We start from the raw sequence: 24,134 nt of genomic DNA, 5'->3' as shown, positions 1-24,134 counted from the left end.
GAACAGGCTGGGCGTGGTGGCTCACGCCTGTAATCCCAGCACTTTGGGAAGCTGAGGTGGGCAGATTGCCTGAGCTCAGGAGTTCAAGACCAGCCTGGGCAACATGGCAAAACCCTGTCTCTATGAAAAATACAAAAATTAGCCAGGCATGGTGGTGCACACTTGTGATCCCAGCTACCCTGGATGCTGAGGCATAAGAATTGCTTGAACCTGGGAGGCGGAGGTTGCAGTGAGACCAGATTGTGCCACTTCACTCCAGCCTGGGTGACAGAGCAAGACTGTCTCCAAAAAATAAAAATAAATAAATAAATAAGTACCAAGAAGAGTGCAGTGATTGTGTATTCCTCTTGGTGCATGCATGAAGAGTGTCTTTGGGGTTGAATAGCTAGATATAAGGTATATAGAATTTCAACTTTGTTAAGCATTGCCAAAATGGTTGTACTGATTTATACTCTCAGCATTACTGTATAAGAGTTTCCAATTGATTAGGCTTTTTTCCAGCATTTGGAATTGTGAAACTTTAAATCTTGCCATTCTAGTAGGTGTATGACTTTGTAGTATTAATTTGCATTTTCCTGAATACTAATGAATTGAGGATCTTTTTCTATGTTTATTGGCCATGTGTTTTCTCTTCCATAAAATATCTATTTACATGCTTGCCCCTCTTTCTATTGTGTTGTCTCACACTTTTTTTTTTTTTTTAAAGACAAGGTCTCACTCTGTCACCCAGGCTGGAGTGCAATGATGCGATCTTGGCTCACAGCAACCTCCACCTCCGGGGTTCAAGCAATTCTCCTGCCTCAGACTCCTGAGTAGCTGGGACTACAGGCATGCACCACCACGCCCGGCTAATTTTTTTTTTTTTTGTATTTTTAGTAGAGACGGGGTTTTACCATGTTGCCAGGCTGCTCTGGAACTCCTGACCTCTGGTGATCCACCCGCCTCAGCCTTCCAAAATGCTGGGATTACAGATGTGAGCCACTTCTCCCAGCCCTCACATATATTTTTAAACAAAATTTGAGTCACACTACATATACCATTTTACATCATCTAAAACATTCTTTTACAGTGTTATTTTAATGATTTGGGACTCTTCTATCTCATAATTTAATCAGAGCCCTGTAAGTATTTTTTTAATTTTGGTTTTTAGAAATAACTCTTGAAAGATATTTTATTGCATACATTTAATTACACATCACTGAATGTTTTCATACAATAAGTTCTAAGAATTGAGATTTCTGAGCCTGGGAAACATGGTGAAACCCTGTCTCTACAAGAAAATGCAAAAATTAGCTGGGCATAGTGGCATGTACCTGTAGTCTCAGCTACTCGGGAGGCTGAGGTGGGGGGACTATCGGAGCCTAGGGAAGTCCAGGCTGCAGTGAGATATGATTGCACCACTGCACTCCAGCCTTGATGACAGAGCAAGATCCTGTCTCAAAACAAAACAAAACCAAAAAACCCAATAATATATCTTGGAAATGACTACATATCAGTCAGTAAAGATCTTCTTCATTCCTTTTGATGGCTTCCTAGTATCCCATTGTATTTAAGTACCATAATGTATTCAACTAATCTTTTATGTTTGGGTATTTAGGTAGTTTCCTATGCAAATACAAATATTTTTCCAAATTATGGTGCAATGAAGAAACTTACATATGTAAGTATGCCTATGTATTTCGGAGGTATCTTTAGCATAAATTCCTAGAAGTGGGAGTGCTAGGCTGAAATGTAAATGTACAAATCGTTTCATTAAATCTTACCAAATGCTTCTCCATAAGGGCTATACTATTTTTTATTTCTTACAGCAATGTGTTTTTCCATAATCTCACGACAGAGCACAAATATTCAATTGCTCCAACACCATTTTTTTGTTTTCTTTGAGGAGTCTCACTCTGTTTCCCAGGCTGGAGTACAATGGCGGTGATCTTGGCTTACTGCAACCTCCGCCTCCTGGGTTCAAGCGATTCTCCTGCCTCAGCCTCCTGAGTAGCTGGGATTATGGGCGCCCACCACCACGCCCGGCTAATTTTTGTATGTTTTAGTAGAGACAGGGTTTCACCATGTTGGCCAGGCTGGTCTTGAACTCCTAACCTGAAGTGATCTGCCTGCCTCGGCCTCCCAAAGTGCTGGGATTACAGGCATGAGCCACTGCATGCAGACTCCCAACACCATTTATTAAAAAGCCCATCTTTGCCTCAGCCATTTGACTGTTTATTATCTACTGGATTTTCCTAAGCAGTAAGTTAATTTCTGAACTTTCTATTTGATTTCATTGGTCTGCCTATTCATGTGCCAGAACCACACTGTTTTCATTAAAAAAACTATATAGCATGTTTTAATATTTGCTAGGGCTAGTCTCCTCTCATACCTCTTTCTTTTCTGTGTCTTACTAGTTATCCTTGAGTGTTTATTTTTCCACATAAACTTTGATATCAACTTGTATAGCTACAGAAAAAATTGTTTATATTTTTTGGAGAATCATATTAAATTTATAAATTAACATAAGGAGAATTGTTATCTTAATAATGTTAGGATATTTTAAACAAAACCAAGTGATGTCTTGTTCAAGCATACACATACATCTTTGAGGAGGGTTTTATCGTTTTATTTTTTGATAAAAGCAGCTGGTGGCTGGGTGCTGTGGCTCACGCCTGTAATCCCAGCACTTTGGGAGGCCGAGGCAGGCGGATCACGAGGTCAGGAGATCGAGACCATCCTAGCTAACATGGTGAAACCCCGTCTCTACTAAAAATACAAAAAAAATTAGCCGGGCGTGGTGGTGGGCGCCTGTAGTCCCAGCAACTGGGGAGGCTGAGGCAGGAGAATGGCGTGAACCAGGGAGGCGGAGCTTGCAGTCAGCCAAGATCGGGCCACTGCACTCCAGCCTGGGAGACAGAGTGAGACTCCATCTCAAAAAAACAAAAAACAAACAACCAAACAAACAAAAAACAGCTGGCTGGGTGCAGTGGCACATACCTATAATTCCAGCACTTTGGGAGGCCAAGGCGGGAAGATGACTTGGGCCCAGCATTTCAAGATCAGCTTAGACAACATTGTGAGATCTTGTCCCTACAAAAAAAGTAAAAAATTAGCTGGGTGCAGTGGTGCACACCTGTGGTCCCAGCTACTTGGGAGAGAGGCTAAAGTGGGAGGATTGCTTCAACCTGGGAGGTCGAGGCTGCAGTGAGCTGGGTGACACTGTACTCCAGCCTGGGCAACAGAGTAAGACCCTGTCTGAAACAACAACAGCAACAACAACAACAAAGAAAAAAAAAACAACTTTTTTAGATAAAATTTACAAACCTTATAATTCACCCATGTAAAGTTTACAATTAAATGGTTTTTAGTATATTAACAAGAGTTGTGCAACCATCACCACGATCAACTTAAGAACATCCTCATCACTTCCAAAAGCAATCCCATACCCACTGGCAGCTACTCCTCACTCCCTCCAACCTCTCCAGCCCCATGCATCCACTAATATCCTTTCTGTCTCTACAGATTTGCCTATCCTAGACATTTCATAAAATGGAATCAGGCTGGGTGTGGTGGCTCATGCCTGTAATCCCAGAACTTTGGGAGGCCGAGGCGGGCAGATCACGAAGTCAGGAGTTCGAGACCAGTCTGACCAACATAGTGGAAACCCCGTCTCTATTAAAAAAATACAAAAATTAGCTGGGCGTGGTGGTGGGCGCCTGTAATCCCAGCTGCTCGGGAGGCTGAGGCAGAAGAATCGTGTGAACCCAGGAGGCAGAGGTTGCAGTGAGCCAAGATCGTGCCACTGCACTCCATCCTGGGCGACAGAGTGAGACTACATCTCAAAAAATAAATAAAATAAAATAAAATGGAATCATACGATATGTAGTCTTCAGTGACTGGCTTCTTTCACTTAGCATATAATGTTTTCAGGGTTTATCTATGTGGCAGCATGTATCAACACTCCATTCTTTTTTTTATTGTCCAGTAACAGTCATCTGGTGGGATGAAGTGGTATCTCATTGTGTTTTTGATTTGCATATCCCTAATAGTTAATCAAGTCAAGCATCTTTCTGTGTGCTTATTGTTCTTCTGTATATCTTCTTTGGAGAAATGTCTGATCAAATATTTTGCCCATTTTGCAATTGGGTGATTTGTTTTATAATTGTTGTGTCTATTCCTTATATATTTTGGATATAAGTCCCTTATTACATATATTATCTGGAAATATTTTTGCCCATTCTGTTGGCTGTCGTTTCATCTTCTTGACAGTATATTTTGACGTACAAAAGTTTTAAATTTTGATAACGTCTAATGTATTTATATTTTCTTTTGTCATTTGCCTTTACCAGCCCCAAGGTAATGAAGATTTACAGCTCTGTTTTCTTCTAAGAGTTTCTTAGCTTTTACATTTAGGTTGTTGAAGTCCTAATCCCCGGTACCCCAGAATGTAACTATATTTGGAGATAGGATCTTTAAAGAGGTAATTAAGTTACATGAGGTTATTAGAGGTGGGTCCTACTTCAATAGGACTAGCGTCCTTATAAGAAGAGGAGGTAGGCCTGGCGCAGTGGTTCACGCCTGTAATCCCAGCACTTTGGGAGGCCGACACAGGCGGATCACTAGGTCAGGAGATCGAGACCATCCTGGCTAACATGGTGTGAACCTGGGAGGCGGTGCTTGCAGTGAGCCGAGATCACGCCACTGCACTCCAGCCTGGGTGACAGAGCGAGACTCCATCTCAAAAAAAAAAAACCAATTTTTTTTTTTTGCAGTGGCCAGGCATGGTGGCTCACTCCTGTAATCCCAGCACTTTGTGAGGCTGAGGCGGGAGAATCACCCGAGGTCAGGAGTTTGAGACCAACTCCGTCTCTACTAAAAATAAAACAAAAATTAGCCGGGTGAGGTGGCATGCACCTGTAATCCCAGTTACTTGGAAATCGAGGCAGGATAATCGCTTAAACCTGGGAGGCGGAGGTTGCAGTGAGCCGAGATCACACCACTGCACTCCAGCCTGGGTGACAGAGCATGACTGTCTTAAAAAAAGAAAAAAAAAATTTTCTTTTTTTTAGACGTGGGGTCTTACCATGTTGCCCAGCCTGGTCTTGAACTGATAGGCTCAAGCAAACTTTCCTCCTCTGCTTCCCAAAGTGTTGAGATTACAAGCATAAGCCACCATGCCCCACCCTTGCCAACATCTTGACCTAGGACTTGTAGCCTCCAGAACTATGAAAAGATGAATTTCTGTTCTTTAAGCCAACCAGTCTGAATACTTTGTGATGGCAGCTCTAGCAGACTAATACATAAACCCCACTTGGATCATGGTATATTATTTTCTTAAATCATACAGGCCTTGTGTTTTGTGATGTGCTTACTTGATAAATTTATTCCTTTTCGTCTAGTATAGGGGTGGCAAACTGTAGCTCATGGGCCAAATCCAGCTCCAAGTCTGTTTTTGTAAATATAATTTTATTGGAACATAGCCACGCCCACTTATTGACATATCATGTATGGTTGCTTATGTGCTACAGTAGCAGGCTGGTGTAGTTAGACTACCAAACCTAAAATGTTTACTATCAGATGCTTTAGAAAAATTTGCTGACCCTGCTCTACTAGATGCTTAAGATGGGCTTGCATGTGCAGTATTCTTTGAGTTGTGCATTTTGTAAACAGTTCTTTTTTATCGACTAGATGTTTTAAAAACAGCATGAATGGATGGATATAAAATCCTTGGCTTGCATCTTTGTTCCTTAAGTTTCCAGAAAATGCTGAAAATGCTGTATCACTACTGCCTTGCTTGTTTGTTGTTCTTGAGACGGGTGATGCCAACTATTTTGGCTACCAGACTCCATAATAAACCACCTACCCTAAAAAGAATGGCTTCAAGTAAGAACCATTTTAATTATAATTTCACAGTCTTTGGAGTTAGGAATTTGGGTAGGGCTTGGCTGGATGATTCTTCTGTTCCCTGTGGCTTCAACTGAGGTCACTCAGTGGTATTCTGCTGATGTAGGGCTTTCATGACGATTTCACTCATACCAGCAAGAATCAGCTAGGTCCTCTCCTTCTCCATGTAGGACCTTTCTGGGGAGTTACATATTTTACATAGCAGCTTGGGGCTTTAAGAATAAGTGTTCTGGCCAGGCACGGTGGCTCACGCCTGTAATCTCAGCACCTTTGGAGGCTGAGGCGGGTGGCATGAGGTCAGGAGTTCAAGACCAGCCTGGCCAATATGGTGAAACCCCGTCTCTACTAAAAATACAAAAATTAGCCAGGTGTGGTGGTGGGTACCTGTAGTCCCAGCTACTCGGGAGGCGGAGGCAGGAGAATCGCTTGAAACCGGAAGGCAGAGGTTGCAGTGAGCAGAGATCGTGCCACTGCACTCCAGCCTGGGTGAAAGAGTGAAAGTCCATCTCAAAAAAAAAAAAAAAAAAAAAAAAAAAGTGTTCCCAAAGACCAAAGACCCAAACTCAAGTGGACACTTAAAGACTTTTTGTGAACTGGGATTAGAAATCCCAGAATATTGCATGTTCTATTGGCCGAGCAATTCAGTAAGGCCATCCTGGATGGAGAGGAATGATAAAAAAAAAAATTGGCAGCCACGTTTAAAGTCCCGCAGCCCAATTTTCTTTTCTTTCTTTTTTTTTTTTTTTGAGGCAGATTTTCGCTCTTGTTGCCCAAGCTGGAGTGCAATGGCGCAATATCGGCTCACTGCAACCTCCGCCTCCCGGGTTCAAGCGATTCTCCTGCCTCAGCCTCCCGAGTAGCTGGGATCACAGGCGTGCACCACCACACCCGGCTAATTTTGTGCATTTTTAGGAGAAACAGGGTTTCACCATGTTAGCCAGGCTGGTCTCGAACTCCTGACCTCAGGTGATCTGCCCACCTCAGCCTCCCAAAGTGCTGGGATTACAGGTTTGAGCCACCGCACCTGGCCTGCAGTCCAATTTTCTTACCCTTTTAAACAATTTGAACTTTGTACCTGCAGACCTTGAAGATTATTATTATTATCAGTTTAACACTGTAAATAGCATAGCTCTCAGAGTTCAGCCTCTGGCAATTTTCCCAGGTAAATGTAGGCCTTATAGGTTTATATCTTATTTTCAGAAAGATTCTTAGATTATAGCTTCGACATATGTAGCACCCCAGTGACACATATGTTGGATATTCTTTGCTTGTATTCAAATGACATTCCAAAAAGAGACAGAAACAAGCACAAAGGTGTGGAGCCAAGGGGAAGTGGAAACATTCCAGGAGTTTGTATGGTGTGTGTGGAGGAAGCAATAGACGATGGATTGGAGAGAATGGGCAAGGGCTAGATTAAGGGAAGTGCTAGACAGTGACACCAGGGGTGGTAAATTTTTGAAAGCTTTCTCTAATCTGCAGCATGGAAGATGGATTGGAAGCAGCAAGACTGGCAGGGAGACCACATAAAAAGCTGCTGCATGGCCAGGCGCAGTGGCTCACGCCTGTAATCCCAGTACTTTGGGAGGCCAAGGCAGGTGGGGATCACTTGAGGCCAGGAGTTTGAGACCAGGCTGGTCCACATGGTGAAACCCCGTCTCTAACTAAAAATATAAAAATTAGCCAGGCATGATGATGGGCATCTGTAATCCCAGCTACTCAGGAGGCTGAGGCAGGAGAATCGCGTGAACCTGGGAGGCGGAGGTTGCAGTGAGCCAAGATCGTGCCACTGCACTCCAGCCTGGGTGACAGAGCGAGACTCCGTCCCAGAACAAACAAACAAAGCTGCTGCATTAGTTTAGGGGAGGTGGGCTAAGAGGGAAAGATTCTAGTTATTTATTTATGAGGAAGCATCAATGGGACTTAGTGGTTGTTGGGTATGGAGTCAGGGCAGAGGGGTGGTGGGAGAAGAAGGAATCAAGAATGGCCCCCCAGTTTCTGAATTGGTCAACTGGGTGGACAGTAGTTTAGACATGTAGAACGTGGGGTACCTCTAGGACACCCAGGTGGAGAAGTCTGGCGGGCTTTTGTGAATAAGGAACCCAGATGAGTGGCCTGAGCTAGAGAGAGTGCACTTGGGAGTTGCTGATATGCGGTAGATAAAGAAGCGGAGTGGATGGAATGGTCCAGGGAGAATGTGTGGCGTGAGACCAGCTGAGGAGAGAATCTGTGAAACTGAGAAGTGGTCACAGGGGTTAAGACAGGAGTCATGCCATGACACCAAGGGAGTTTCAGAAAGAGTGGGCTACTCTGTTCAATGTCACTGAGAGTTCTAACAATATGAGGACTCAGAGATGGCTTGTGGTATTTAGGATCCAACAAGCCATTCATGACTGAGAGCAATGCAGTGATGTGGTGTGGACAGAAACTACATAGGTTTGAGGAGCTGAGGAGCTGCTGAGGAGGTAGAGATGAGGGTAGATGACTTTCAAGATATTTATGAAGGAAAACTCAGAGAGGGACTAGTAACTGAAGCAGAATCTAGAGGGACAGCGAAAGGGTTTCTTCCTTTTTCTTGAGGACAGGAAAAGCTTAAACATGAATAGATGATGAAGGAAAGAGACAAGTAAAGAGAAGTTGGTAATTTTGGAGTGAGAGGGGGAGAATGATTGAAAGGTGTTTGAAAAGTTTTCTGAGGATGTGGGAGGTGAAGAAATAGAGAACAGAGATGGAGAGATGCCAATACAGTGTCCTTGAAGTATTTAATTCCCTTATGGTTTAGGATTGTCTAGTCCACATATTGAAATTACCTTGGTTTCAATCAATAAACCGAACATATCAAGCGATATTTACACATTTATTTTATATTATTTACACATCTTTTCTCCAAAGAACAGAATCAATGTTTTACCCCTCTCAATGCCTTCCACATAGGGGGTGCTCAAAAAGGGCAAATAAAGAAGCTAGAGGTCTCTTACCTGTATTCTGAGTATCTTAATATGTACAAAACATAGCCAAGACCGTGCCTACAAGAGATAAGTCTCCTCAAGCATGAAAATATTCACACACTTCATATATGTAAGGTAAAAGGTAAAATGTCCATCTTTATTTATTTATTTTGAGACGGAGTCTCACTCTCTTGCCCAGACTTGGAGTACAGTGGTGCGATCTCGACTCACTGCAACCTCTGCCTCCTAGGTTCAGGCGATTCTCCTGCCTCAGCCTCCCAAGTAGCTGGGATTACGGCGTACACCACCACGCCCGGCTAATTTTTGTATTTTTAGTAGAGACAGAGTTTCGCCATGTTGGCCAGGCTGGTCTCGAACCCCTGACCTCAAGTGATCCGTCTGCCTCAGCCTCCCAAAGTGCTGGGATTACAGGCGTGAGCCTCCGCGGCAGGCCAGAAAATGCTCATCTTTTGAGGAACCTATTTGTTCCCATTTAACAAAGTTGGTTATCAGCATTTCCTTCACCATAGGAGTTTAAAAATAAAAAGAGGAGAGGAGGAGGAAGAGGGTGTTCTAAAGGCAGGCAGGCAGGCAGGCAGGCAGCAGCAGGAGGTGGCACGATCTGCCTTACCGTAAGGTGCCAAAAAGCAGTGAAAACCATACTCCCAGCATGCAGGCCTGGGGTCGCTTAGCTCTGGAGCTTACAGCCTTCATCATTGACCAATAGCCCCCAAAGGACGTTGCTGTTTTGAGTCTTAAGTAACGTTGAGAATGACCATTTGAACCATTCAAAAAGTCCTTGCTATATTCTAATTTGGCACCATCTCCTGTATTTCACAGTTTGGAAAGAATTCTATAAAAGATGGATAACAGTAAAACACAAAAAAGCTGGTGCTGAGATGGTAAACCTGGCTGCCCCGGCTCCTTTGCCCAAACTGTTTTCCCAGCCCTAATGTCCTCCCTTTTTCCTCCTAGGACTTCTTTTTCTTCCTTCGAGGTTGACCATAAATGCCGCCTCTAGCCCTCTGCGGCGTCCAAGCAGAAGTCGTCTCTAGCTTCTGTGCCAGCATCGCACCGTGGCTTGGCTCTGCACGGGTCATCGGACTTGGTTGTGTACATGGCTGTTTTCCCCGCTAAGTTTGGGGCGCCTCGAGCCCAGGCGCCGTGACCGTGATCGTGCGCCCACAGGCACCTGGTGCAGCGCGGGGCGCACGCCGCGGCTGGGCTAGCTTGCGGAGTTCACGGGGGTCACTCGGGCACAGGCTTGTGACCCAGGCGCGGAGAATGATTCACGGGGTGGCTCTTTGCATTCTTTGTCGGGTAGTCACGTCGGGCCGGGCACCCCGCCGACGGATACCTGCGGATGGAAAGACACCCGGCCCGACGCCAGCGAGCGGGAGAAGCCTGGATGGAGCCAGCTTCCCGCCTGCCCGGAACCCGCCGGCGACCGGTGGGCGGGGCGCGGCCGCGGGGGCGGGGTGGAGGGGGGTTGCTCGGCCGCTCCCGCCCCCTCCCCGCGCGCGGAAGCCACGCCCCCGGCCGCGCGCTCGCGCTGGGCGCGCGCCCGCCCATCCGCCCTCCGCCCTCCGCCCTCGCGCCCTCGCGCCGGGGGCGGGCGCTGCGCGTGCCGGGCGGAGAAGCGGCGCGAGCCGGGCGCTGCGAACGTTCGCCGCGGGGGTGGCTCCGGGGCCTGAGTAGGCGCTGCCGCTGCCTCAGCCGAGGGGGCTGGGCCGGAGCGTGCGGAGGAGTGAGGCCGCAGGAGACCTTCCCGACGACCCCTGCTCCGGCGGGGAAGTGAGCAAGGTGGGGGTCTGCGGCCGCCGCCGGGGCTGTGGGGAGACGAGCTGGGCTGGAGCCTCGCGCCCGCGAGGTGCGGGACGGCAGCTCGCGCTGCGCCGGGACTGGGGACCCGGGAGCCTGCGGGTGCGGCGCTGCAGGAGTCGGGGAGGGCGCGGGGAGCCGGGGCCGCTGCACCGCGCGCGGCTGCGAGGTGGGACGGCGCGGCTAGCCCCGGAGGGACAGGCAGAGGGGATGCGGCGGATCCCGGGCCGGGAGGGGTATCGGGGTCCGGAACGCGCCGGGGCACGGGCGCGAGCGGGGGCCCGGCGCCGGGCTGATGCTGCCCGAGCCCGGCTCGCCTGGAGGCGGCTCTGCGTTAGGTGCTGAAGGGGCGAGTGAGGCAGGTCCTGGCAGAGGGCAGGTGAGGCGGGCAGGCCCTGGCAGAGGGAAGGGTATTTATTTCAGATCACCCCAAATCACTGTTTCCCGAGGCGCCTAATAGCGAACCTGTCCAGGAGGTCACCCTGGACAGGAAAGAAGTGTCCCGAGACGAGGATGCCGGTGACGAATACTTGCCCTTAAATTCCTGTGCCAGGCCTTGGGATTAGGAAGACCTTCCAGCTACCGTAGGTAGAGACCCGTAGTCAGCACTGGGGCCACGAAATAGTATGGAACACCGTCATGTTATTGAGGTGCTGACAGTGTGGCTGTGAAGATATGCACATGAAATACAAAGGAGCGTCGAATTTTATGTCGCATGCCCTATTTACTTTCGGTCTCTTTTGTCTTTTCCCAGTATTGGGAAATTGGAGCCATAAATTGCGTGGTTTTGGGGATAAAGCAGAAAGGTCAAAAGAAGCCTATGGGAGAAATTTGGGAGAGTTTTGAAGGCTCCTACGGGTAACATTTAAAGGGGGCTCTTAGATGGGGAAAAAAGACGTTTGGAAAGAAAGGAAGTTTCCTTCCTTCCCATCTAGAAATAAGCTCCATGACTATTGACTGCTAAATCTTCAGAATGTTGCCTGGCTCACAGCGGTTGAGCCATAAGTGTCTATTGCATGAATGAATGGACAAGCAAGGTTTGGCCACATTTGCCATGGAGCAGTGTCAGTCACTCTAGTGTTAGGGAAGGTTGCTGGATTTCTCCTGTTCCACAAGTTCTCTCTCTCTGCCTCTTTTTTTTTTTTTTTTTTTTTTTTTTTTTTTGCTATGCGAGGCAACCCCGGTTCTGAGGTCTGGGCACGTTAAAGCAATGGCTAAGGCGGCGAGGTCTTGGTTTCTGTGGCCATGCTACCACTTTCCCATGTGTCTTTCATGTTGGCCTTCAAGAGCTTGCTCCTTGGCCTGTTGCTTGAGATCATCCCATTTTGTTCCTTCTCCCATTGGCTTTTTCTATTACTTGAGAAGGAAGAGGGTAGTGTTGTCTAGAGAACACTTTTTCATTTTGGTCCTGGTTCTTGGGTCTTAGACCTGTAGTGCGAGGCTGTTGGTGCCTCTGCTTTTCTGTAAGGGCTGGAATTCTACCTGTGCTCTGCCTTGGTTGAATCTCTGAACTCTGGAGCTCCAGGCTGCTGTTTCAGTAACCTGGGTTGCAGTGCCTGTTGGGTTACTTTGTCTGCCAAATTAAAACTTGACCTTTTATGAGTTCTCTAAGGATTTTTATCATGCATAAGTGGAATTGCCTTTGAAAGGGGTTGTGCAGTCAAGGTAGTGCTGGCAGAGTTTTTGGATGTCCACTATGCCCGAGAGACAAATTTCTACCTATGGTTAGAAAATTAGACTCAGAACCAAGAGAATTTCAACTTATTGTTTATTTTATGTCTTTATGTTACTCTCTCAGGGCCTTAGTTTCTTCGTGTGAAAAATAAGTAATAATCAAAATCTGGCATTGTATAGGAAGCCTTGAAGAAGTAAATTTATTTCTCCTGTTTCAGGGCTGTACAGCCAGCAGGTCTCTTGTTGAGAGGTGCCTAGGTTCTACAATATTGGGTGCCTTATTCCAGGCTCTCTCAATGATATTTTGTTTATGTATTTATTTTAAAACCAACTTTTTGACGTATAGTTGACAAAATAAAATGCACAGATTTCCCGTGTGCGGTTGGATGAGTTTTGGAAAAATGTGTACAGTAGTCCCCCCATTAGCCTCAGGGATATGTTCCAAGAGCACCAGTGGATGCCTGAAGCCACAGTTAATTCCAAACCCTATATAGACTGTTTTTTCCCTATACTTAAGTATCTATGATAAAGTTTTAACTTATAAATTAGTTGCCATGAGAGATTAATGACTTCTCTTAGGCATATGTTTGGCTTCTCTGTGGCATATCCCAATTGCCAGCATCACTACTCTTGCACTTTATTATTAAGTAAAACAGTGGTCACTTGAACACAAGCACTGTGATACCATGACAGTCAATCTGATCATTGAGACAGCTACTAAGTGAGTAACCAGAAGGTGGCTTATGCAGTGTGGATATGCTGGAGAAAGGGATAGTTCATATCCCAGGTGGGACAGAGTGGGATGGCACAAAATTTCGTCACGCTATTCAGAATGGTACACAACTTAAAACTTACAAATTGTTTATTTCTGAGGGGAGACTGCTGTATACTTTGTAACCACCATTCCAATCAAGAAATTTCCATCACCCCAGAATGTTCCCTTATGCTGGTTTGCAGTCCATTCTCTATCTTCCCTACTCCCTTTTATTGATTTCGAATTACACGAGCATCAGAGCTGTGGCACCTAGTTGTGTAGATTGTATTCTGCCCAGCTTTAGGGAGCACCATTCACATTGGAGTCCTTGTGCCTGGCAGCTGCTGGAGTTGTGTAGTGCACACTCTGTGTGACTGTGTGCTGCAACTCTGCAGGTGGCTCAGAACACACACTCACTTGTCAGATACTCAAACAGTACAGACAGAATAAAGGCCCCCTTGACCTACTCACGGAAACAAGTTATCAGTTTTTGTGGTCTTTCCAGACTATTCTCTATGTATTTTCATGTATATATAGGGAACACAAACTCATCTGATACTCAAAACAGTATAGACAGAATAAAGGCCCCCTTGACCTACTCACAGAAACAGAAGTTATCAGTTTTTGTGGTCTTTCCAGGCTATTCTCTATGTATTTTCATGTATATATAGGTAATACAGAATAAAAAAAGAGCAGAGTTTTTTCTCCTCTGCATTAATGACATCATACCATACACATTGTTCTGCAGTTTTTTCCCCTAACAGAATGATTTTGAGATTTTTTCATGTTGGAACACAGGAATCAACCTGAGTCTTCTTAACTACTACACAATCTCTTATGTAGTATGTATCGTAGTTTATTTAGTATTCTCATTAAGGACCGTTGCTGCAGTGAATGAAAAACTACAGTTGCTGGGTCAGAGGTATGCGTTTTACTTCATAACTGATGGGGCTATAACCATGTTGCTGCTTGTGGATTTAATCCATTTATTTTCAACTGCTTAGTGTATTCAGTTGTAGGCTTTTTTTTTTTTTTGAGATAGGGTCTTCCTCTGTCGCCCAGACTGGAGTGCAGTGGCACTCCAGGGCTCAAGTGATTCTCCCAAGTAGCTGGGACTACACTTGCGTGCCACCATTTAAAATTTTTTGTAGAGATGCAGTCTCGCCATGTTGCTCAGGCTGGCAAGTGATCCTCCCAAAGCGTTGGGATTACAGGCATGAGCCCCTGCACCTGGCCCGGTTGTGGACTTACATCACAGCGCACGTGTCCTTTTACTCACTGAGGAACAGTTGGGTTCCTTTAGATGCTGATTCTTCAGTGGGTCTGTGTGTTGCAAATGCATCCTGCCAGCCCTAGGCTTTTCTTTCCCTTTGTTAACAATGTATTTGGTTGTATATACCATTTAAGTTTAATGTCATATTTATGAAAAATTTCCCTTAAATGGCTTGTCTTTTTTTGGGTGTGTATCTGGTTTAAGAAAATTTTCTGTCTCTCATGGTGTTAATGATATATTCTTAGAGTTTCTTCCAAAAGTTTAAAAAAGTTTTGCTTTCCAGATGGAATTTATTTCTATGTATGGTATAATGAAAAGATACAATTTTTTTTTCAATTTGGATGACCAGTTTTTCAGCACTCTAACTTTTTTTATTATAGTAAAATACACATAACATAAAAATAACAATTTTAACCATTGTAAGTGTACAGTTCTGTAGCATGAAATACATTCACATTGTTGCACAGCCATCACCACTGTCTCCAGAGCTTTTTCATCATCCCCAACTGAAACTCTGTACCCCTTAAACACCAGCTCCCCATTCTTCCCTCAGCGCCTGGCAACCACCATTCTACTTTCTGTCTCTATGAATTCGACTACTCTAGGTACCTCATATGAATGGAATCATTACAATATTTGCCCTTTTGTATCTGGCTGATTTCACTTAGTATAATGTCCTTAAAGTTCATTCATATTGTAGCATGTGTGAAAATTTCCTTTTTAAGGCTGAATAATATTCCATGGTATGAATATACCACATTTTGTTTATTCATTCATTGATGGACATTTGGGTTGTTTCCCCGTTTTGGCCATTACAAGGAGTGCTGCTATGAACATTGGTATCTGTATGTCTGTTTAAGTCTCTGTTTCCATTTCTTTTGTGTATGTACTCAAGTGCAATTGTCAGTAATACAGTTTTTAAAACAATATACATAATGGAATAAAAATAGATTAACACAATTTTGACCAATGTGGCTGAATAGTATGGAGTTTCCATATACCCACTCTTTCCCATATGGTTTCTCCTATTATTAACATCTTGCATTAGTATGCTACATTTATTATAATTGATAAACTAATATTGATACATTGTTGTTAAAGTTCATGATTTAGAGTTCACTCTTTGTATTGTATAGTTCTATGGGTTTTGACAAGTGCGTAATGTCATGTATCATTTACATGGCATGACTGCATGCTACAACCCTGCAAGGGGCTCACTTGTAAAATACTCAACAGTACAGACAGAATAAATGTCATTACATGGCTATAGTTTTACCTTTTCCAGAGTTGGAAATGTCATAGATTTGGAATCATGTAGTATGGAGCCTACTCAGATTGGCTTCTTTTGCTTAGCAGTATGCATTTAAGTTTCCTCTAAGTCTTTTTTGCGACTTGATAGCTCATTTCTTTTTTTTATTTTTATTTTTTGAGACTGAGTCTCACTCTGTGGCCCAGGCTGGAGTGCAGTGGCGCGATCTCGGCTCACTGCGAGCTCTGCCTCCCGGATTCACACCATTCTCCTGCCTCAGCCTCCCGAGTAGCTGGGACTACAGGCGTCCGCCACCATGCCTGGCTAATTTTTTGTATTTTTAGTAGAGACGGGGTTTCACCATGTTAACCAGGATGGTCTCGATCTCCTGACCTCATGATCCGCCTGCCTTGGCCTCCCAAAGTGCTGGGATTACATGCGTGAGCCACCGCGTCCGGCCAGCTCATTTCTTTTTAGCGCCGAATGATAATATTCCTTTTTATGGAAGCACCACAGTTTGTTTATTCGTTCACCTACTGAAGGACATCTTGGTTGCTTCTAGTTTTTGGCAATTTTTGAATAAAACTGCTATAAACATCCGTGTGCAGGTTTTTGTGTAGACATTAAATTTGTAACTCACTTGGGAAAATACCTAGGAGAGTGATTGCTGGGTCGAATGGTAAGAATATATCAAGCTTTGTAGGAAACTATTAAACTATCTTTCAAAGTGACTGTATCATTTGCATTCCCAATAATTTTTAAAATTTATGTCCAAGTACCCTAAATGTACTTATATAATAAGTATGTCAGACTGTTCTGTAAAGTTAAACTTCACCTGGAATAATATTTAGTCATTGGTTTTGTTGGCTGTCTTTCTTGCAGTGTATCTCTTCATGTGTTTTGAAGTACAGACTTTTTTTTTTGAGATGGAGTCTGGCTCTGTCGCCTAGGGTGGAATACAGTGGCATGATCTCAGCTCACTGCAGCCTCTGCCTCTACCTCCCAGGTTCAAGCGATTCTCCTGCCTCAGCCTCCCGAGTAGCTGGGATTATAGGCACCCGCCACCACGCCTGGCTAATTTTTGTATTTTTAGTAGAGACAGGGTTTCACCATGTTGGCCAGGCTGGTCTCAAACTCCTGACCTCAAGTGATTCGCCTGCCACAGCCTCCCAAAGTGTTGGGATTAAAGACGTGAGCCACCACACCCAGCCAAATTACAGACCCATTTTCAGAGTGAGTGCTTTTGATTTTGTTTTCTTTTCTTTTTTTTTTTTTTAATTTTGTTTTCTTCTGTGCCCACTGTCCTCTGTGTGGTGATATTTCAGGTGCTTCAGCTGACCTACTGGGCCTCAGTCTAGAATCAGATATGATAATTGTGGGTCAAGGGTCCTGCCCTTTGAGTTAATTGGGCTATTTTCGATCCTCTCATAGAGTATGGTCCTGAGGCTGTTTATATCTTCCCACTTATCTAAGCCTAGAGTATTAGATAAACTGTAGTTCTAGGCAGAGATTGGCAGCAGTATTTTTTAGCTTCCTTTCAGCTCCAGCATCATTGCTGGCCTTGAGCAGTGGGTCTGGCCCAGATATCTCCGTTTCTTCATCCTCCTTTGCTTTCTGTCATTACTACCTGCAGGAAGTGCACACCTGGTCTAGACTCCGGATCCAGCAAGCCTAGAGCTTCAGTCCTGCTTGCAACTTTGTGTATCTATTCTGTTTCTCCAAATAGAGGTTTATCTTGTTTTTGAGCCTAATTAAAAAAAATTGTTAAAAAATATTTTATCCATTATTGTGTATTTAGAGCAGAGAGGATGCATCAAAGAATGTACTTACTGGCCACTTTCTAGAAGATTTAATTAGCCAAGCTCCTTTCTCAACTTTATACAAAGACTTTTTTCTTTGTTATGGCATTGCCTAGGCCTTCCAGTACAAGAATAAGTATAATAATGGGCATTTTAATCTTTTTCCTGAGTGGTAATGTTTCCAGTGTTTCACTGTTAGATATGATGTTTACTGTTGGTTTTTGGAAGATGTCTTTTGTCAATTTAAGGAAGTTTTCTTCTGTTCTTGGTAAATATTTTTAATTGGGTGTTGAATTTTATGGAGGCCTTTTTTTGGGGCATTTCTTGAAATTATTTTTTCCCTTCTTTAACATGTCAAGAATAGGACAGATCTCTCTGAGTTGTAGGTAACTGAGAGAAACAGATGTATATGATTTACTTGTTAATTCACTTTTAACAAAAAACCTCACAACCTTTAAAGAAAACACATTTTAAACTTGAATTTTTGTATACTAACATTATATATAAGTTAAAATAGGGCTGAAATGCTGTAGTAATCAGGTTTGGACTAAATATCATCGTAACTTCACTATATTTGAATAGTACCTAATAATATCAATAATAGTAGCTAACATTTATTGGGCTCTTACTGGATGCCATTGTGCTAAATGCTTTACATGATATTGATTTAAGAGTTACCACAGCCCCGTGAGGTTATTTAGCTACTCAGAACTCTTTGTTGTAGTGGAGTGCAGTTACTGAATTTTTTTATTGGAACCTAGAGAACTCTCTCAGATTTGTAAAAAGCAAATCTTTAAGGTTTTATGAACATTTATTTTCCCTGGCCTTTTTTTTTTTTTTTTAAATCTGAAAGAGAAGAGAAAAGAAGTATTAAAGGAAGAATATTTGAGAATTTTTCTGAAATAAGCAAGGAAGTTCTCTTTCAATAAAGTTTGGCTTGTTGTAACTAAGTGTTAATGAGAGTCTTAGTCATCACTAACTTTTTTTTTTTTTGAGACGGAGTCTTGCTCTGTCATCCAGGCTGGAGTGCAGTGGCACGATCTCAGCTCATTGTAACCTCTACCTCCTGGGTTCAAGGGATTCTCTTGCCTCAGCCTCCCAAGTAGCTGGGACTATAGGCGCATGTCACCATATCTGGCTATTTTTTTCTATTTTTATTAGAGACTGGGTTTCATTGTGTTAGCCAGGATGGTCTCCATCTCCTGACCTCGTGATCCACCCGCCTCAGCCTCCCAAGGTGCTGGGATTACAGGCATGAGCCACCGCGCCTGGCCCCTCACTGACTTCTTAATTAAATGGACATCCAAAGAAAAACTGACAGGGAGATGGTGGGAGGTGGTGAACTTACATAAGAAATTTCAATACTTGGATGCTTTGACGTAGCTGAGAGCTGGCAGGGTTAAGAAATTAACAAAAAGATGGAAAGGAAATAAAGGCTATTTAACACAAAGGCATGTACAGAGACATCCTGGAGACACTTCCAAAGCCTTCTCTCCTTTTCCTTTAGTCTTTACTGTGGGAGTTACGTAACTTCTGCGTGTAGACGTAGTCCAGGTGTGAAACACTCTATTTTCTATGAATAGAACAGAGTGTAAGAACTAACAAGGATCCAAACTTTTTGCTGCACTCTCTTCAGATCCTACTTAGCTCCATGATTTAAGGTCTGATCCAGCACCACAGTTTTGGGACCTGTGTTCTTTCCTTATTCCTTGAGGCCTCATGTTGCCCTGGAGGGGGCGATGTGACACAATAGAAAGAAAATGGGCTCTAGCGCTTTAGCATCGTCATGGTCAACTCCGCAGATTCCTAGCTTTGCAACTTCAGGCCAAGTTACCTGACCACTTAGACTTTAGTTTCCTCTCTACTTCTAACACCCCTAATCCTGAAAATCTCCTCAAGCTCAGCACGGTCTTGTCTTCTCACCTACTTTTAAAAAGAGCAATAGTCTCCAAAGTGGGAGGTATGTAAAATGATCCTCTAGGCAGGGTGTTACAAGAAAATATGAGCAATCAAGTTTTACCAGTATTTGACCCATAGGTTGACACTTTACTTCATCTGTGTGTCTGATGATGTCTGTCACGTACGGTAAGCTAGGGAACCCCACCGCCTGGAGGGGCTGATACTGTGATCCTCCTTATTTACCTGCTTATATTGTTTTAGCACATGTTTTAGTTCACCTCTGCTGGGTTTAGTGGTCTTTCAGATCATATTACCTGATTTGAATAAAATGAACTTTGCTAAATAGACAGATGGCTCACAAAGATTCCTGCAAAGAAAATGCAGATTGAAGTTTCAGAGTCAGCAGAAGATTGAAGTAATAATACAAATACACGTGAACAGCCAGAAAGAAACAGAGTGGATACTTCTATTTATATTATGAACTTGTCAGTCAAATGCATAATATAAAAACAATGGTGATCTCATCAGATTGATGAAAAAGCAGTAATAAAAAATAGCTTAGAATTACTAAAAATACTATTTAAAATATGGACTTATATACACTGTTGAGTACATTGTACCTGAAGGTATTTACTAATGATATTATGGGCTAATCTTATAAATTGAGATATTTAAAAACTAAATATTCAGAATATAAAGACAGACTTATTGATGTTTTTCAGTGATTGTCAGTCATAATCCAGTACCTTAAAATTTTATTAAGGTTAATAATACATTTTTAGAAGTTCCTTTTGAGGTTTAGGAATAAAAGACAAAAAGTCATAAACTCTTGTTCTTCTTGTTTGGTAACAGTGGCTGAAATGATATATAGATAAATAATTTGAGTTTGGTGTAAAACTGAAAAGTATCCTGTATTAGCAACTGTTGTTGAGATACTGGTAGAACACGTTGCTGAAGATTTTGAAATGATGGCTATTGTACCAAATTTTAGAGTTCATGGGAGTTCATGTATATTTGGATAAAAGTACAGAGCTTATGGTATTTGGTATACTCTGTTTCAATAATAAAATATATGGAAATATATGGAGAACTGTGCTCCCCACCCCCGCTAAAACACTCAGGATAAGACTTACCAGAGAATTTACTAAAAGTAGATGATCTAAAATGTTATAAAGAAATAGTACATATAAAGCATAAAGAATAATATATTGTTCAACCATTGTGGAAGATGGTGTGGGGATTCCTCGAGGATCTAGAACCAGAAATAACGTTTGACCCAGCAATCCCATTACTGGGTATATACCCAAAGGGTTATAAATCATTCTCCTATAAAGACACATGCACATTGTGTTTATTGCAGCACTATTTACAATAGCGAAGACTTGGAACCAACCCAAATGCCCATTAATAATAGAACGGATAAAGAAAATATGGCACATACACACCATCGAATGCTGTGCAGCCATAAAAAAAGAATGAGTTCATGTCCTTGCAGGGACATGGATGAAGCTGGAAGCCATCATTCTCAGCAGACCAACACAGGAACAGAAAACAGAATACCGCATGTTCTCACTCATAAGTGGGAGTTGAACAGTGAGAACACATGGATACAGGGAAGGGAACAACACACACAGGGGCCTGTTGGGGGGTGGGGGCCAAGGGGAGGGAGAGCATTAGGACAAATACCTAATGCATGCAGGGCTTAAAACTTAGATGGCGGGTCAATAGGTGCAGCAGACCACCATGGCACATGTATACCCATGTAACAAGCCTGCACGTTCTGCACATGTATCGCAGAACTTAAAGTAAAATTAAAAAAATATGTTTCCACTTAAGTAAATGGAGCACAAAAAAAGAAGACTATATTGTACCTAGAACCCAGCCTAAGAAAGAAAATATAGCCAGTGGAGTTGGTATACCTCTGCGGTCATAATTCTGTTTCCATCCCCAGAGATACTCTCTTTTCTGAATTTGATGATTACCATTTCCATATACTTCTTTATACTTTTGCTGTGTGTGTGTGTGTGTGTGTGTGTGTTTGTGTGTGTGTGTGTGTGTGTGTGTGTGTATTTGTATATTTGTATGTTATATTCAGGGCCAGGGCCAGGGTGAGATGAGGAGGCACCTAGGTCCCCAATGTAAGGAGCCCCTCAGCCATGGGCTTGCATGACCCCCAGGGTGATGCTTCCTTAAATTTTGTGCCCCAGGTACCTCGTTCACATCACCATAGTCCCAGTCCTGCTTCTGTTAATATGCATGTTTTTAAGCTTTATGGAAATAATATTATTTTTTATGTATTCTCTTGTAACTTTTTTCACTTAATATTGTGAAATTGATCCATCTCGATAAATGTAGCCCTGCTTTATTCTGTTGTGCGATTGACTATACTATAATTTTATTTTCCCATGCTTCTGTTGATGGACATTTAGGTTGTTTCTGATTTTGTGTTTAGAAACAATATCATCATAAGCATTCTTGTATGTGTCTCCTCAGGACATAGTTGTAAAAAGGGAATTTCTGGGTAATTAGATACATCCATTTGTTTTTTTTGTTTTTTTTTTTTTGAGACGGAGTCTCGCTCTGTCACCCAGGCTGGCGTGCAGTGACACAATCTCAGCTCCTTGCAGCCTCCACCTCCTGGGTTCAAGCAGTTCTCCTGCCTCAGCCTCCCGAGTAGCTGGGACTACAGGCGCCCACGACCATGCCCAGCTAATTTTTTGTATTTTTAGTAGAGACGGGGTTTCACCATGTAGGGCAGGCTGGTCTCCAACTCCTGACCTTAGGTAATCCACCTGCCTCAGCCTCCCAAAATACTGGGATTACAGGTGGGAGCCACTGCGCCTGGCCTATATCCATTTTTAATATTACTAGATACTGCTTTTGCTGTTATATTTATGCTTTCACCAGCAATATATGAGAATTCATGTCACCTCATATTTTTGCCAATATAAATGGTATTTTCAGACTCATTTTTTTCATTTGATGTGTGTGATGGGTAAATTATATTTTTGTAAATTTTGTGTTGCAGAATTAAACAGATACTAAAAAAATCATAGCTTAGTGAATTATTGTAGAGCAAACGCTTCTGTCATCTTCACCCAGGTGAAGAAATAGAATTCTGCCAGCCCTATTAGAAGCTCCTCCATGTACCTCATCCCAGTCATAGCCCCTTCCTTTCCCCCCAAAGCAATCGCTGTCCTGATTTGTATAGTAATCCCTTCCTTGGATTCCTTTATGGTTTTCTACCCCAACTGTGGATCCTTAGATATTATAGTTTAGTCTTGAGTTATTATGTGCAACTTTTTATGTATTTGTTTTCCATTTTTGTTGTCTCTTCTGTGAATCGCCTGCTTATATCTTAGGTCAGATTTTCTTACCGGTTTGTACAAATTCTGTGCATATCGTGGATACCAGTTGTTGGTTATAAGCATTGCCGATCTCTTTTCCCAGTTAGTGACTTGTCTTTTCATCTTTCTCATGAGTTTTGATACTTAGATTTAAGTGTAGTTTAACTTAGGCAAACTTTTGCTTAGAAAGTCCTTCCTTATGTTGAGATTAAAAGATATTTTGAGACTACTGTAACAAAAGCTTAATTGCAAAAGACATAAACAGGCACCTCACAGAAAAGGAAACACATATGACCAGTAAACATATTAGAGATGGGTACCTTCATTAGTGATCAAAGAAATACCAATCAAGACCACAATGAGATGATATCATATACCCATGCTGTTGGCAAAATTTGAAAAGCCTGGTGGATCTAGTGTTGGAGAGATTGTGAATTCACAGGATCTCTGATATATCACTGACAGGAATGTACTTTGTTGCACTTTAAAAAACATTTTGGCAATTCCTTTTTTAGATACACACCCAAGATAAACTCTTGACCTTGTGCAGCAAGAGACAGGTACAACGTTTTGTAGCAACACTGTCCACGATAGAAAAAAACAAAACTAGAAACAACTCAGATTTCCATCAGTAGGAGAGTAGATTAAAATGCAGTTTTGGAATTATACAGCGTTAAAAAAAATGAACAACAGGGTGAATCTTAGCAATATAATATTTAGTGAAAACGATTACCTTAGGGTTATGCATAGTAAGATATCTTTTTTCTGTTTAACTTATTTGAGATATAATCCACATACCATATAATTCAACCTACAGTTCAGTGGTTTTTAGTATATTTCTAGAGTTGTGCAACCATCACTATTAATTTCAGAACATTTGCATCATCCCTAAAAAGAACCCTGTACTCATTAGCAGTTACTCCCTATTCACCTTCCCCCGTCAACCCTCCACAAACCCCTGGAAACCAATGATTAATTTTCTGTTGCTATGGATTTACCTATTCTGGACATTTCATAGAACTGGAATCATATAATACATGGTCTTCTATGACTGGCTTCTTTCATTTAGCATAGTGTTTTCAAGGTTCATCCATGTTGTAGCATGCTTCAGTACTTCATTCCTTTTTATGGCTGAACAATATTCCATTGTATGTATATGCCACAATTAGTATGAATATACTGCAGTTTCATTCCAGCACCACTTGTTGAAAAGACTGTCCTTTCTCTCTTGAATTGTCTTGGTACCTGTGTTGAAAATCAGATGACCATAAGTGTAAGGATATATTTCTGGACTCCCAGTCTGTTCCATTGATTCCTATTGCTATCCTTGTGCCAGTACTACACTGTTTTTTTTATTACTGTGGTTTTGTAGTAAGTTTTCATACGTTCATGGACTTCATTTGCTAATATTTCGTTGAAGACTTTTGCAGTGAAAATGAACAATGTTCATGAACATTGGTTGGTAGTTTTCCTTTTTTTCTGCCTTT

General features: G+C 42.7%; 1 protein-coding gene across 30 annotated transcripts in view, besides 3 other annotated features; it reads left to right on the top strand.

Annotated features, from left to right (window-relative positions):
• Positions 8,048-8,257: an enhancer, noted in NCBI's record as "active region_15463". NCBI's record gives its function as "activates an Ori minimal core promoter by ATAC-STARR-seq in GM12878 lymphoblastoid cells {active_cell/tissue: GM12878}" and the evidence as "EXISTENCE:reporter gene assay evidence [ECO:0000049][PMID:35858748]".
• Positions 10,065-10,994: a silencer, noted in NCBI's record as "silent region_11263". NCBI's record gives its function as "represses an Ori minimal core promoter by ATAC-STARR-seq in GM12878 lymphoblastoid cells {active_cell/tissue: GM12878}" and the evidence as "EXISTENCE:reporter gene assay evidence [ECO:0000049][PMID:35858748]".
• Positions 10,406-10,700: a silencer, noted in NCBI's record as "tiled region #7937; HepG2 Repressive non-DNase unmatched - State 1:Tss". NCBI's record gives its function as "represses a minimal TATA promoter and a strong SV40 promoter by Sharpr-MPRA in HepG2 cells {active_cell/tissue: HepG2}" and the evidence as "EXISTENCE:reporter gene assay evidence [ECO:0000049][PMID:27701403]".
• DTNB (dystrobrevin beta) overlaps positions 10,443-24,134 on the top strand; it is a 296,335-nt gene continuing 282,643 nt past the window's right edge. For all 30 annotated transcript variants that reach the window (NR_147180.2, NM_001320935.2, NM_001351393.2 and 27 more), the window contains exon 1: positions 10,443-10,634. The gene's annotated coding sequence lies outside the window, so the exon portion shown is untranslated. The remainder of the gene's footprint in view (positions 10,635-24,134) is intronic.

The sequence above is a fragment of the Homo sapiens genome, chromosome 2 (assembly GCF_000001405.40).
Source record: "Homo sapiens chromosome 2, GRCh38.p14 Primary Assembly".
Classification (NCBI taxonomy): domain Eukaryota; kingdom Metazoa; phylum Chordata; class Mammalia; order Primates; family Hominidae; genus Homo; species Homo sapiens.
The sequence above is the reverse complement of the archived record's forward strand: the minus strand, read 5'-3'. Positions and strand labels throughout refer to the sequence as shown.